Here is a 16,463-nt window from a genome sequence, read left to right as displayed (position 1 = left end):
GGTTCACGCCATTCTCCTGCCTCAGCCTCCTGAGTAGCTGGGACTACAGGCGCCCACCATCACGCCCGGCTAATTTTTGTGTATTTTTAGTATACACGGGGTTTCACCGTGTTAGCCAGGAAGGTCTTGATCTTCTGACCTCGTGATCCACCCGTCTCGGCCTCCCAAAGTACTGGGATTACAGGCTTGAGTCACCGCTCCTCGCCGGCGATATTTTTTGTAGTTTTAGTAGAGACAGGATTTCACCATGTTGGCCAGGCTGGTCTTGAACTCCTGACCTCATGATCCACCTATCTCGACCTTTTAATGTGCTGTGATTACAAGCATGAAACACAGCACTGGCCTATAATTTATTATTTTTAAAACAAAGAAAAGCCTTACATTTTTACATATGGGAACAACATGAATATTGTAAAATATGCTGTGGAAAACTACAATATAATAAGCAATTAGAAATAAATTATACTATCATTCAGATAAATGTTGAGGAAAGTAAATGGAAACACTAATGATAAGTTTTTCTATGCAGTGAACTTAGACACAAACTAAAACTTTTCTTAATGTGATGTGCATATCATCCAATTCACTTTTTATATAACACATAAATTCAAGTATGTTTTCTGAAACCCCTGAAGCTAAAGTTATAGGCTAATTTGACATACGTAAAAACAGGACAGGGAAAACATACAGATCACAGTCCCACTAAGCTTTATATAAGATTAATTAATAAAATAACTCATTAAGAAATAATGTAACAGTTAAGAATTTGTTCTATTCCTGGCATGTTTCTAAGTTTTTCTATGGATTAAGGTCCTTAAAAATTCTTTGAGATGAGTAGATACAATAAACTATTCCATAGGTGATATGTTTGGCATAGAGAGTTCACATTTCTAAGTTAGTTTCTACTAAGGGAAAGAAAACTTTTTGACCTACATTACCAGAGATGAAAAAAAGAATAAAGTGAAATAGAAGATTCAACTTTATCATATCTGCTGAGGTGCTTTGGGCTCTGATAAATTTTTTTTCTGATTTTTTTGCAGGAACACATTTGAAATAATAGGACTGAAAATTATGAGGAGGAAACATTTGTCCTTGGTGTTTCTGAAATATGTGAACCAAACCCCAATGCCTGCACTTTTGCTCTCACAAACTTCTGACATGAGGCACAGATTTTTACAAAACAGCTTAACATAGAAGTCTCACAAAATGTGCAGATTTCCTCAGATCCCAAAAACAATGGAAAAGCACTCAGACCACAAGAGCTTCATGGGAATAGCAGAAAGAAGAGGTGAACTTTGGCTGTCACTGTGAATGCCCTGGAATGTTAGTGGATGAACAGAGAAGCCTTAGAAGATTTAAGAGCATAATAAGCATAGGGTAGGAAATTTCCACCTGTGGCAGCAAAAGAAGTAAATTTAGAATTTTCCAGAACCAATTTCTTTGAAGCAGAACTTCCAACACCACATTTTTAAGGTTTTCTCCTTGGCCTTTGCACCTCTCATCTTTGTTATTTGTTTATTCTTCCCTATTGGGGTGTTGCCTATTATTCTCTCTCTTTTTACATTCCAAAGACATTTCCTTTACTGTAGGACAGGGGCATCCACGGGAGACTACAGCCATGAGTTCTTAGTTTCTGTTTCTGGTTGAGCCAGTAAGGCCCTTTCCTCATCCCCCTTTTCCACTTATCACTAGACACAGAACCCAAAAACCATTGCTGCAGGCTGCTAAAAACCTAAAACAAAACAGAGCCATAACAAAAACAAAACAAGGCGGGTTGGAAAAGCTTGCTGTACGAGGCAACCAGGTCTGGCTTATATTCACCACATCCCTTCTTCTTTCCCAGAACAGCAATTGGGCTCAAGAGAAAACGTCCAACTTTTAGTATATCCCTCAGTATAGAATGAGAACAGTGGAACATATGTTCAAAGGTTTGGCTTTGTGGGCTACCGCTGATGACTAGATTCTGTCTCCCCAAACAGGGAATGCTAAAGGAAATGGCAGAGTAATGAGAATGATAACTTATGACTGCTGAGAAGAGAAGTTACATGCTTACCACAGCCTCAGAGAAACAAACACTACAATCAACTGCGGAAGCAAAGGACCACAGTGTCTGGAAAACAATGGGAAAAAATATCTTTACCTTAAAAATCCACACACAAGCCCAGAGAAGACACATTGAAGACACTGTTAATGAAGAACCAGGATGTACAGCCTCACTGATTGTTGTATTATCTTGTAGTAAGCAAGTTTGTACATACTACATTACACAGTTGTTTTATAAATTTCTGAATCTCATCAAAAGATTGCAGGGCATACAGAAAAGGACGAAAACATGTCCCAATTGAAGAAATAAAATAAACCTACAAATATTGATCTTTAAAAATCTTTGTTGACTTTTAAAGGTCAAAATTTGTAGGTTTATTCTTTGTTGTTGTTGTTTTTGCATTATATAATTTTGAAAATCAAAATAATTATCAAAGCTCCTTAATGATATGAACACTCCTCCAGTCCGCAGGGCTCCGGCAAGGGAGGAGCTTAGACACCATGCGGGACACCCGGGTGGACCCCCAACCCACGCCCGAGGCTCAGAGCAGGAGCAAGGACCTGGCTGCACCAGGCCGAAGCCGCCTCCACCCCCAGCGGTCGCGGACTCCAGGAGCTCCAGACCTGGGGTCGTGGTGAGATTCGTTGATTGACTGCGCGATGGTGGCTGAGTTGCAACCAAATGGGTTTCATCACCTTAAATGGTTTTGAACCAATGAAGCTATATTCCCTTAAAGAGACGGACAGCCCATCGTGTGAACTATAGAGTTTGTGAACAAATTTATATTGGGTTCATAGTGGCATCATGCACACAGACTCCTGCGAGTTCCCCTAAGTTCTTAGAGGACTGCTTTACCTTTTGATCTGAGAGTTGCAAAGTTCCGTAAAGAATGGCCCTGTGGATAAGCGCTAAGTCAAGAGACAGCGATTGGACAGAATTTGTGAAGGAATTCGCCGCCAGATCACGAAAGACCCCCTAAGCCCCCGCTCACTGGCAGCGTTCCTGGTCGGCCGTGACTGCACTGTGGACATGCCCATCCTGAAGGCCACCGTGGCCTTCTATGATGCAGTCCACGCAGGAAATCCACGAGAAAGTTCTAAACAGAGCCGTGGGCCCCATGATGCACCACACAATCACCTCACCAGGGAGGTTCTGGCAAATTTCAAGTCCTTGAGAGTGATCGTGGGGGTGGGCAGTGGCTATGACAACGTGGACATCAAGGCTGCCAGCGAGCTCGGAATTGCTGTGTGAAACATCCCGTCCGCAGCCGTGGAAGAGACAGCCAATTCCACCAACTGCCACATTCTCAACATGTACCGGAGGAACACATGGCTGTACCAGGCACTGTGGGAAGGCAAGCGGGTTCAGAGCATGGAGCAGATCTGCGAGGTGGCCTCGGGAGTGGCCCGCATTCGTGGGAAGACGCTGGGCCTCATCGGCTAGGGTCGCACGCAGCAGGCTTTTGCAGTTCCAGCCACAGCCTTTGGATTCAGCGTCATGTTTTATTACCCCTACTTGCAGGATGGGATCGAGCAGTCCCTGGGCATGCAGAGGGTCTACACCCTGCAGGATTGGCTGTATCAGAGCGACTGCATCTCCTTGCACTGCAGTCTCAACGAACTTAAGCACCACCTCATCAATGACTTTACCATAAAGCAGATGAGGCAGGGAGCATTCCTTGTGAACGCAGCCCGTGGTGGCCTGGTGGACGAGAGAGCCTTAGCACAGGCCCTCAAGGAAGGCAGGATACGAAGGGCAGTCGTCGACGTGAACGAGTCGCAGCCCTTTAGCTTTGCTCAGGGTCCGTTGAAAGATGCCCCCAATCTCATCTGCACTCCTCTCACTGCCTGCTACAGCCAGCAGGTGTCACTGGAGATGAGGGAGACAGCTGCCACCGAGCTCCGCCGAGCCATCACAGGTCGCATCCCAGGAAGCTTAAGAAACTGTGTGAACGAGGAATTCTTTGTCACATCTGTGCTTTGGTGGGAAATAGACCAGCAAGAAATTCATCCAGGCATCTTGGGCGTGGGTCCAGGAGGACTTCCTGCATCCATGGAAGGGACATTCCCTGGAGGCATCCCGGTGACTCACAAACTCCCCACAGTGGCACATCCTTCCCAAGCACCCTCTCCCAACCAGCCCTCAAACACGGGGACAATCGAGAGCACCCCAACGAGTAATAACAGAGAATGCCGGAAGGTAATCATTCAGATACACTTTTGAAGAAGAGACAGTGAAAAATAGACAAACTAAGAGAAAAAGAATCTGACGCTCTTTTTAGCTGATTCTGGACATATGCTCATTGGTTTTGCACTGTTAAAACTGCAAGACCTAGAAAACTGCAGATGTCGTCTGCTTACGGAAGCTCTGAAAGACTAGGATGTGATTTATTAACCACCAACTTCCGTTATTATGTGTTTAGTTTTTCATCTGTGCATCAAATCACAAAGAATGAATACAATTTTTTCCTTTATCAGTCCCTTGGGCACAGCAGGTCTGGAACACCCTGCTCAGAATGTTGCATCAAGACTTCAAACATCAAAATAAAAACCATGAGGAGGAAATCCCCATCTTGTGACTTGAGTCCCTTCAGTCTACAGGGACTGGTTACAGCATTTTGTTAATAGGAAGATCACATTACTAGAAAATATGGAGTAAACTGTTTGCCTATGGTAGACATCCTCACACATAAGATTGAAGACAGTACCGGCTCCTGTACAGAGAAGCGTCTCTCACATCTGAACTGCATACTGAGCGGGCAAGTTGGTTGTAAGTTCAGTAAAAGCCTCTGATAATGCAAAAAAAAAAAAAAAAGTATTAAGTTTCACACGCTGTTTGTAATCAAGTATATTTTCTCAGTTTCAGATCCTCTGCTATTTTATTTAGTGGGAAGTCTTGCACTAAAAGGGTTCAAGAAAAATAGTGTTGCATTTTCTTATGTCACAGGAAACACTTTTAATGGTAACTTGTCAGATTGTCTATGAACAAACCCACTTTTTAAGACATTGATAAAGTCTTCTTTTCTTCACGTTGTGTTTTATACAAGAACACTTCAGCTGTATTGGATGTGACTGATTTTAACAAATTATATTAGATTTGCATCAATTAGTTACATGTTCTATTTATAGTCTTTTGTGAATATAGTCTTTTTGTTTAAAAAGATGGCCTGTTTTGATCCTTTGATTAGGTACATTCCCGTTTTTGTAAGAAAAGAGAAATTTTTAAGACTGTCCCAAACAGAAAAATAATGGCTATCAGAAGTACGTTTTGTTTTAGTGTAGTGCGAATTACCGTTACTGTAGTTGTTTATTGTAAAGATGGACATTTAGCATTCAGTGCAGTTTTCAATAAAATGTGATTAGAAAAAACTGCTTAATGAACAAAAACAGAACATAGACAACAAAAGAATATTAGAAGAAGTGATACATAAAGAAAATGAGATATCAATAAAAAGATTTTTAAAAACCAACAATTGTGAATCTGAAGAACATAATAGCTATATTAAAAATTTAATCAACAGTCACAAAAGCAGACTAATAAAGGAGAAAAAATTACACAATTGATGACATTGTAGTTATAAATATTGAGTGATGAAAACAAATTTTTTAAGCAGAATGGAGGAAAAAGTATGGGAAGTACTGCACATGGTCAAGTGGACCATTATATTTATGAAAGGAGTCTTACAAAAACAATATAGGAGAAAAGTAATAAAGAGGTTATTTTTAAAAAGTAGCTGAGAAATCCCCACATGGCAAGATAATTAAACAAGAAGAAATACTTCCAAACAAAAACCTTCAACTGGAGTAATATCACTTCAGAAATAAAAAAACTAAACCTTTCCAAATAAATAAAAGTTGATTGTGTTACTAACCACTAGAACAGTCCTAAAGGAAGTGTAAAAGAGTCTATCACGTCCAAAAATGAAATGATGCTGCAGAGCATCATAACAGCACATGAAAATAGAAAGCTCTCTATTAAAGGTAAATATATAAACAGGTAAAGAAATCTCTACTGTCATAATCATGGTGCACAAAACTTTCAAAATATTGCCATGGAGTTTAAAACATGAGGCAGAAATCTGCATAAATTTGTGATCATAGACCATAAGGAAAGATAATATGCGATATTAATAAAACAGTGGGGGTGTCAAGAGGTACAACTTTGCATTCAGTTGAAATATAGTTGTTCTATACTGTCATAACTTTAAGATGATTTATGAAGTCTTTATTTCTCAGGATGATTACCAAAAAAAACCTGTAGAATGTATGCAAAGGCAAATGAGAAAGAAATTCAATCACGTCACTACAAAATCAACAAACAGAAATAAAGCAGTAAGAGAAAAAATGATAAATAACACATCTACAAGAAACACAGAAGACAATTACAAATAATAAAGTAACTTCATTAAATGCAGTAATTACTTCAAATATAAAAAGTTAAATACCTTAAAGAAAATTAATAAATAATTTAATGGATTAAGAACAAAGAAGATCCAGCAATTTGCTCTCTACAAGAGTCACTTCAGCTCTAAGGACTCAAATAAGTTGAAAGTAACAGTATAAAGAAAATATATTTTATTCAAAGAGTAGCTAAAATTGGAGGGCCATGGTCATAATTATACTAAACAAAATATATTTTAAATCAAAAATATGAACAAGAGACAGATTGGTATTGTGTTTTTGTTTTTGTTTTTGGAGACAGAGTCTCATTCTGTCACCAGGCTGGAGTGCAGTGGCACGATCTCGGCTCACTGCAACCACAACCTCCCTGGTTCAATCGATTCTCCTGCTTCAGCTTCCCGAGTAGCTGGGACTACAGGCACACGCCGCCACCTCACCCAGCTAATTTTTGTACTTTTTAGTAGAGATGGGGTTTCACCTTGTTGGCCAGGATGGTCTCGATCTCTGGACCTCATGATTCACCCGCCTCGGCCTCCCAAATTGCTGAGACTACAGGCGTCAGCCACTGCGCCCGGCCGAGAGAGATTGGTATTATGTAATGGTGAGATGGATTAACTTTCCAGGAATCTATAACAATAATTTATAAATCATATATATATAATTTGAAAAATCTGCAAAAATATACCACTGAGATTTTGACAAAAATTACATTAAATTTTTGTATTACTATAAATAGCACTGACATCTTTCTTTCTTTTTTTTTTTTTAGAGACAGAGTTTCTTTCTCTCTGGCTGGAGGGCAGTGGCATGATCTCTCGATAGGCTCACTTCAACCTCCTCCTCCCAGGTTCAACTGATTCTCGTCTTTCAAATATGTAAAACAAATATTGACAGAAGTCAAGCAAGAAATACATAGCAACACAACAATGGTGGACTTCAAGACTCCACTTTCAGTAATGACTAGAATAGTCAGAAGTAATATCAGTAAGAAAGCCAAACCTGAACATTATAGACCCAACCAGCATTTACAGAACTCTCCAATTTAAAGGAGCAAAATCTGCAATATTCTAAATCACACATGGTACATTCTGTTAGGATACATGTCTTATTAAATTTAAGAAAACTGAAGCCATACAATGTAAATGAAACTAGAATTCAAAAGCAAGAAAATGTGGCAAATATGTAAATAAGAGGAAATTAAGCAAAATCTTTCATATAGTCTTGCTCAAGTGTCAGGTGATTTAATATTGTTAAGATGTCAGGGCCGGCATGAGGCTCATGCCTGTAATCCTAGGACTTTGGGAGGCCAAAGTGGGTGGATCACTTGAGATCAGAAGTTTGAGACTAGCCTAGTGAATATGGCAAAACCCTATCTCTACTAAAAATACAAAAGTTAGCTAGACGTGATGGTGCACGACTGCAATCCCAGCTACTCTGGTGGCTGAGACTGGAGAATTGCTTGAACCTGGGAAGCGGAGCCTGCAGTGAGCACATCTCGCACCCCTGCCCTTCAGCCTGAGTGACTCACTAAAACTCCATCTCCAAAAAAAAAAAAAAAAAAAATGTTGTCAGTACTACTCATGATGATATAAAAATGTAAGGTAATTTTTGTCAAAATCCCAATGGTATTTTTTTTGCAGAATTTTTGTGTATAATTCTAAACGTTGCTTAGGACAGGTGACTAGCCAAACACCCTTTAAAAAGAACAAAGAGGTATTACATTTTCTGATTCAAAATCATGATACAAAGCTACAAAAATAAAAACAATGTGGTATTGCCACAAAAACAGATACATAGATGACGAAACAGAATAGAGATCCCAGAAATAAACCCTTGCATATGTGATAAAATAATCTTCCGTAAGCTTTCCATGACCACACAATAGAAAAATAAGAATCCATTTAACAAAGAGTTTTCCAAATTGAATATTTACAGAGAAAAAAATAAAGTTGGATGCTTCCTTTGTATCATATATAAAAAGAAAAGTTTTTAAAATGAATTCAATACTTAAACATAAAACCTAATAAAATTCTTAGAAGTAAACATAAGGGAAAAGTTTATGACATAAGTCTTAAAACTCTTTCCTTAAGTTTGACATCAAATTCATAAGCAACAAGGAAAAGAACAACGACCAAGAAAAGGGACTACATTAAGCTTCAACTATTCTACACATCAAATAAAACATTTAGTGCCATACAAACGTCACCTAATAAGTGGGTGAAAGCTAGGCATGGTGTCTCATGCCTTTAATTCTACAACTTTAGGAGGCCAAGGCAGAACAATCACTTGAGACCAAAAGTTTGAGACTAGCCATGAAAACATAGCAAGACCCTGTCTTGTATAGGGTTATATATATGCATACATACATACATATAACTAAAAAGAGTAAAAATATTTTCTAATCACATATTTGGTAGGTGTTAATTTTCAAAATATATAAATTCCTAAAACTCAACAACAAAAAAAGTTAATAACTTGATTTAGAATGGCACATGTTTGAAATGACTTTCTCCAAAGAAGACATAGAAATGACTAGGCATTTAAAAGGATACTCGACAACTCTCTTCTAGAAAAATACAAAGAAAAGTCACAATAATCTATCACATCAAACCTATTTTTAAAATAGTATGAAAGCTCTTCAAAAAATTTAAAATGAGATTATTATACAATCCAGCAAACCCCATTCTGGCTATGTATTTAAAATATACAACACATGATCCGGAAGAGATATTTGCACACCCAAATTTATTGCAGCATTACTAACACAAGCCAAAAGGCAGAAACAACCCAGCTGTCCCTTGACCAATGAAGAGATTAACAACAAGTGGCACATACACAAAGTCGAATATTATTCAGTCTTTAAAAAGTCACATTATATGATTATTCTTGAGAATATCACGTTAACTGAAATAAGCCAGGAACAAAGTGACAGTCTATGATTCCATTCATAATCAGGTATCTTAAGTAGACAAACTCATAGAAAAAAAAAGTTAGAATGGTGTTTGTCAAGGACTGAAGAGATGGTAAAATGGGCAATTGTCTTAAAAGACATTTAATGTTAGTTTTGCAAGACATAGAAGTTCTACAGATCTTTTGCATAACTATGTGAATGTACTTAACGCTAATGAAATATACACTTAAAAAGAATTAAAATGGTAAATTTTACATTATGTGTTTTTACCACAATCGCAATTTTTAAAAGGAAAAATATGGACTTATAAAGCTTTCCAAAAATTAAATTTTGTTCACAAAAGATTTTCTCTCACACAAAGGAAGTATAGATTTATAATTAAACACATTGTGAAATTAAGATTATTTCAATGACTATTCATCCACACAAGATAAGACAACCACTGAAAATCAGCCAAAAAATATGGAAGATAAGCCATGAGCAAAGTTGGGGACATATTTATAGAGACAAACACATATATAATTTAATTTTGAAAACGTATGACCGATTTATATTTTAATTAAACCCAACATTAGTTTCCTGAGTGAAATTTGGTTTTCAGTTTGGGCAAATGAAGACCTTTCTGTGGTTAAAAGGATTCTTTCTTCTCCGTTTCTTCATATGGACCTGTGCTGGGGATTGGTCAGCTGTTCAAGTGCAATGCACTCAGTTTTGGTTCTGTGCCAGGATTAAACCTACGATATTTCACATTTCATATATAAACCCCGATGAAGTGTTTCTAGGAGATGGCTGCCTCATAACCTATATTTTGCCAAATGTTTACTATGAATTTCACCACCATCCTCTTGAAGGTGGTATTGTAACTAAAACTCTTCAGGACATTCTACTTAAAACTAAAATCACGTATATCTCAAGAAACTCCTTTCTGATTTGAAATGCCTCTGTCATGTATTGTCTGCAATCAGCCTCCTCTTTAAAAGAAAGTAGAAAGGACAGATGAGGAAACTGATAGTGTTACTGCATGGGAGACAGAGGTGAGGATACACATGGCGGATGAAAACATGGAAGTTATTTCTACAGCACGATCTTGTAAGTGTCTGACTGCTATGCTCCCTTGTATATCAAATGATGTACCTTTATTGCAAGAGAAGATAGTGCGCTGTTTACCTTGACATTGAGAGGCAATTTTGAATCTCTGTCGTGATTGTTTAGGACTGAGGATTTAATGTGCTATTTTGTGGAAATCTTAGAAGCAGTAATGGGATTTAATGATCTTAACTATCATCCTTCTGAAAAATCTAACGCGATTTTAAATAAAATGGCCGGCTGCTTCCACCGTTCCCTTTTTAAACCAGGAGCTGCCGTTGCTTTTAACATTACGAAGTTGAATCTATGAATAGTTTGTACTATTAACATTTTTTTAAAAATCCACATTGACTTGAAGTGTACAGGCAGAGTTGGAAATTATAACATCCAAAGTTATAATACATAAGTAAAACCCAAAATAAAATCAACTGCTGCCCTGGAACCTATTATAAATAATCGAGACAGTAATATGGAATTGTAAAGAAAAATAAGAAACATATTTACTCATAAAATCTTGCAAGCAAAGTTTTTTTCTTTTTTTGAGACAGAGTCTCACTCTGTCACCCAAGCTGAAGTGCAGTGGCGAGACGACGGCTCATTTCAACCTCCGCCTCCTGAGTTCAAACCATTCTCCTGCCTCAGCCTTCACTGAGATTACAAGCACCTGCTACCAGACCAGGCTACCTTGCATATAAACTTGATATATCATTTATGAAAATACTTTTTAGATAACTAAAATATTCTACTGTGACTGTGCATTCATGAAGTTCGGGTATCTTGAATCATTGGCATGCAGTGTGTGACAGTAAAATTTCACAGAAAATACACTGTAACCATTAATAAAAGGCCCTAATAAGAGAATTTTAATGCATAAGAATTGAAAAGACACCATAAATAATTTCCGTTGTATTTTTAATACACTGATGCTATTCTTACACAAAGTAAAAAGGCTGGGTAAGTTGTGGTGGCTCACACCTGTAATTCCAGCAATTTGGGAGGCCGAGGTAGCAGATTGCTTAAGCACAAGAGTTCACAACATGCCTGGGCAGGATAGGGAGACCCTGTCTCTGCAAATAATAATAAACAGCCAAGTGTGTTAATACACATTTGTGGTCCCATCTGCTCAGGAGGCTGAGGCAGGAGAATTGCCTGAGCCTGAGTGGTCAAGGCTAGAGTGAGCTGTGATTATGCATTGCATTCCAGCCCAGGTGACACAGTGAGACCCTGTTTAAAGAAAAAAACAAACAAAAACTAAAAATTAACCAGGAGTAGTGGCATGCACCTGTACTCCCAGCTACTTCAGAAGCTGAAGTTAGAAAATCATTTGAGCCTGAGAGTTTGAGTCTGCAGTGAGCCATAATTGAGCTACTGAACTCCAGTCTGTGTGACAGAGCAAGGCCTTGTCATAGATAGATAGATGATAGATGATAGATAGATAGATAGATAGATGGAATACACCTGGAGAAAGAGTAAATTTTAATGTAGTGTGATGTAATTTTTAAAATAAACTTTATGTGTGTATCACTTAGAAATTTATAGAACAGGCCGGGGGCGGTGGCTCACGCCTCTAATCCCAGCACTCTGAGAAGACGAAGTGGGCAGATCAGGGGGCCGGATATCGAGACCAAGACCATCCTGGCTAACACGGTGAAACCCTGTCTCTACTAAAAATACAAAAAATTAGCCGGGTGTGGTGGCGGGCAACTCTAGTCTCAGCTACTCGGGAGGCTGAGGCAGGAGAATGGCGTGAAACCGGGAGGCAGAGCTTGCAGTGAGCCGGGATCGCGCCGCTGCACTCCAGCCTGGACAACAGAGCGAGAGTCTGTCTCGAAAAAAAAAGAAATTTATACAACTTAGCCAGAAGAATAAAAAACAACCTCTTAACAGTTTTTTCAAATAAAAAAAGTGAGTTTGAAGAGAAGGGAATAAAGGGGACTTTCAGTTTAATGTGTTTTTTATTTTTTGAGTCAGGGTCTCACTTTGTTGCCCACATGGAAGCGCAGTGGTGTGATTTCAGCTCACTGCAAACTTGGCCTCCCAGGCTCAAACAATCCTCCCACCTCAGCCTCCCTAGTAGCTGGGAATACAGGTGTACATCACCACAACTGGTTAATTTTTGTATTTTTGTAGAGAGAGGGTTTTACCATGTTGCTCACACTGGTCTTGAGCTTCTGGGCTCAAACAATTCACCTGCCTTGGGCTCCCAAAGTGCTGGGATTGAGCCACTAGGCCAACCAAGTTTTTTGTTTGGTTTTGTTTTTGAGATGGAGTCTCACTCTGTTGCCCAGGCTAGAGTGCAATGGCACGATCTTGGCTCACTGCACCATTTGCCTCCTGGGTTCAAGTGATTCTCCTGCCTCAGCCTCGTGGGTAGCTGGGATTATAGGCACCCGCCACCGAGACCAGCTAATTTTTGTATTTTTTAGCAGAGATGGGGTTCCACCATGTCAGCTAGGCTGGCCTCAAATTCCTGACCTCATGATCCACCCACCTCGGCCTCACAAAGTGCTGAGATTACAGGCATGAGTCACTGCTCCCGGCGACCAGCCAAGACTTTTACTTTATAAAGATATTTATGATGTTTTCTTTTCTTTTTACAGTACGCATTGCATTTATAATTGGAGATACAAAAAAAGGTGACTGTTACTGTTTGACAGCAAGGCAGTAGTATTATCTTCATCAATATTTGCAACTTAATTCGCAGGAACCTGTAAGAGAAAGCCCAGACAAAACTTTAAGGCAAAGAAGTTACACTTGTAAAAAATGAGAGGACTATTTTTTTATAATAACAAATATTCCAGGTGAGGACTGGTCAGGATCTACCACTGCTCCATCTCACTTGATAAGTCTCATGCCTGCCAGGGTAAGAAGGAGCAGAGAGAAGGACAAATGCCAGTGAGTTTCCTCTCCCACTAAGGATCTGTTTGTCAAGTTTCCTACCATCAAGTGGAAGATGTACTAAAAATAAAATGTACCCTTGCAGATGCTAGCAGAGAGGCACAAAATAGAAAAGGAGGTAAGCCCATATATTGTGGAGAAAGAGATCCAACTTAAGATTCAAAATGCACCAGAAAGCTGTGTAAAGTTAATAAAATTACTCAAAATCTTGGAACATTTGTTTCCTCACCTGTAAAATGGGGATCATGTGCCTACTTCATAAGTTGTTTTGACAGTTAAATTCACAGAGATATTTAATAGAGCCTGCTATGGCAAGTGTTCACATTAACAAAGTAGTATCAAACTTCAAAATATGGGAAAGGTATTTTGAATAATGTCTATGAGGCCAAGGACAACATGCCCAGCTTCACAATCAATCCCAGCCACATTACACTGAGGAGATCTACAGGCAACTATATTTCTTCAACAAATTCCATTAGAGAGGAAGAGTGTGTAGTCTGAAAACATGACACAAATGTGACCAGTGTACAGTGACTTAGGTAGTCGGGGGTGGAATCCCTACATATTCTCTGAATTGCAGCTACACAGTGAGTTCCCAGGAAACAAATGGAATAGAAAAGGTGACACAAAATATACTACCATAAATGGGGTGAGCATAGCAGGTTCACAACCACAAATGTAAGCAGGAGACTCAAATCACCAGGAGCACCTAGATCTGTGAACAGCAGCTTGTGGTGGCATCAGGTTCAACTTTCTGAGACCACCGGTGTGGGCAGTGTCTTTGCAGGCACATACTCGGCAGCAGTGTATCTGAAGACAGATCTCAAGGCTCTTCTCTTCACTAATTATTAAGATGATAGATGATGGATACCCTCACGTTACAACATCCCCACTAACGCTGTGGACAAGTGAATTCAGAAACCCACACCTAAATACACAGTGAAGAGTAGGATGAGAATACTGCAGGATAGGTTAGGAATGCAGGCATTCGACCCCATAGAGTCTATTTAAAATAAGAGAAGGGCCCTAGTATTGTGCTGTGGTCCTCCTATATATAGTTCTTTATTTTTCCAATTTCATAAAGGCCATACAGTTTTTCTTCCTTTCTTCACAAATGTGCTGATGAACCCATGAGTAATTCATCCTGAAGGGGTTAATTCCTCATAAAGTACAGTAACGTGATTCAATTGCTATGATGAGGTTTTTCAGGATTTTTTTATAGTGTCCCATACTCACCGATCACAAGTGAAAATTATAAGAACATGTAATTTGAACAAAGTATTCTTTTCACATAGAGAAATACACAGGTTTATACAGATTAGATGCATCATCAAAGTTGGTAACATCTGGGAACAAAAGGAACTATCCTGAGGACATAAGGAACTTAGGGACGTCGATTATTAAGAGGCTACCTGCAAGTGGAACTTCTGGGTTTTCATTGTCTAGACAGAAAAATTTAACTCATAAGCCCCAGTATATTAAGGTACATCCCCAACGGCTGTGGGGGATCAACTTTCCATCCAAAGCAGAGATGTAAAACATGAATGACTTCAAATGCGGCTCAAGTGCTCTGCACCTTGAAAGTCATCCCCACAAAGCTGGAGCACCACCTGTTCCTGAGGGATGAGGTCACCAACTGCTTTTTTGAGACACTCGTCAGTCAGGACTCAGTTGAGATGAGGCTGGTGATTTCAACTGTAAAATATCTAAACCATCGTCTTTAGGTAGATTCTTATGCCTGGGAATTGTGGTTTTCTCCTCTGCTGTTAGCAGATCCTGAGTAACCCAAGAAATACCCGCTCTCACCCGTCAAGTTCTATATCACAAGAAAGGCGCTGCAGACGGTGACATTTTCACGAAGGAGCCACAGCCCGCATCACCCCCTGAAAGCTCTGAAGTTGCGCACGGGTGGGTCACGCAGCAGGTGGATGTCTCAGTTCCCATAGAGTTTAGCAGAGCAGGCGGCTCCCTGGGCTGGAAGAGGTGCGATGCTCTGGAAACCCCCCGCGGGTGTGTATGTGAGAGGACACCGAGATGTTCAGCGGGCTGTTCAGTGAGGACCAGACCCCTCCGATTTGAGCAAGGGAGGTGCACTTCGCAGGGTCACACCGTCCTCATCGCCCAGCCTAGACCTGCCCCTCAAGTCCTTCTGCGGACTCCCTTGGCGAGGGGGTGGCACAGAATCAGCATGTGGCATCGCTTAGGAAAGGACGAGTCCACACCGCCCTGTCCCTCCCTCCAGGGCTGCGCACCACGGGGTAGGACAGACAGCGCATGCTGGTTTTGTAGTTAGCAGGTCGGCGACCAATGGGCTGGAAACCGTTAAGACACCATAACTCCCAGCACTCCTAGCTAGGGACGCGCCTCCCTATCCTTCGCTTCCATACTACACACCGCCCCCAAACCCAGCGCATGCTGAGATTGTAGTCCGTTAGCCTCGCGACCAATGGGCTGGAAATACTGAAAGGACTATGACTCCCAGGATGCTTTGCGAGGTACCCGCCGTCCCGATCCTTCCTCTAGGGCTGCGCACCGCCCCCAAGCCCAACGCATACTGGGATTGTAGTCAGGTAGTCCTGGGACCAACTGACTGGAAACTGTTAAGAGACCATAACTGCCAGCACGCCTGGCTAAGGACGCACCTCCCTATCCTTCCCTTCAGTGCTACACACCGCCTCGAAGCCCGGTGGCTGCTGGGATTGTAGTCTGCAGGCCGGGGGCCATCGCTGGAAACCGTTAAGAGACCATAACTCCCAGCATCCCTGGCCAGGGACGCGCCTCTCTATCCTTCCCTCCAGCGTTACACACCGCCCCAATCCCGGTGCATGCTGGCATTGTAGTTCGGTAGCCTTGCGATCAACGTGCTGGAAACTGTTTAAGGACTATGACTCCCAGGACGCCTTGCGAGGGACCCACCCTGTTGACCCTTCCTCCAGGGCTGGGAACCTCCCTTAAGCCCAGCGCATGCTGGGATCATAGTCCGACTGCCGCGACAGAAAGGCTGGGAGTGGATCTGAGACTACAGTTCCAACACTACGGGGAAAATTTCATCTTCTCTGAGACTACAGTTCCAACACTGAGGGGATAATTTCATCTTCTCCTCCGCCCCTCCATGTTTCCAGTG

At 40.6% G+C, this 16,463-nt stretch overlaps 1 long non-coding RNA gene and 1 pseudogene across 1 annotated transcript; one reads left to right on the top strand and one right to left on the bottom strand.

Moving 5' to 3' along the window:
• Positions 1-7,740, top strand: part of CTBP2P9 (CTBP2 pseudogene 9) — a 44,659-nt pseudogene extending 36,919 nt beyond the window's left edge.
• A 1,432-nt stretch (positions 7,741-9,172) lies between these two features.
• LOC124904991 (uncharacterized) lies at positions 9,173-16,164 on the bottom strand. The gene is made up of 2 exons (XR_007067800.1): positions 13,979-16,164; positions 9,173-13,149 (listed from the first exon to the last, which is right to left on the bottom strand). It is a non-coding gene; the product is annotated as an uncharacterized LOC124904991 (long non-coding RNA).
• Between the last annotated feature and the right edge of the window lie 299 nt (positions 16,165-16,463).

The sequence above is a fragment of the Homo sapiens genome, chromosome 21 (genome assembly GCF_000001405.40).
Source record: "Homo sapiens chromosome 21, GRCh38.p14 Primary Assembly".
Taxonomy (NCBI): domain Eukaryota; kingdom Metazoa; phylum Chordata; class Mammalia; order Primates; family Hominidae; genus Homo; species Homo sapiens.
Note: the sequence above shows the minus strand (reverse complement) of the source record. Positions and strands in the feature narration are given on the sequence as shown.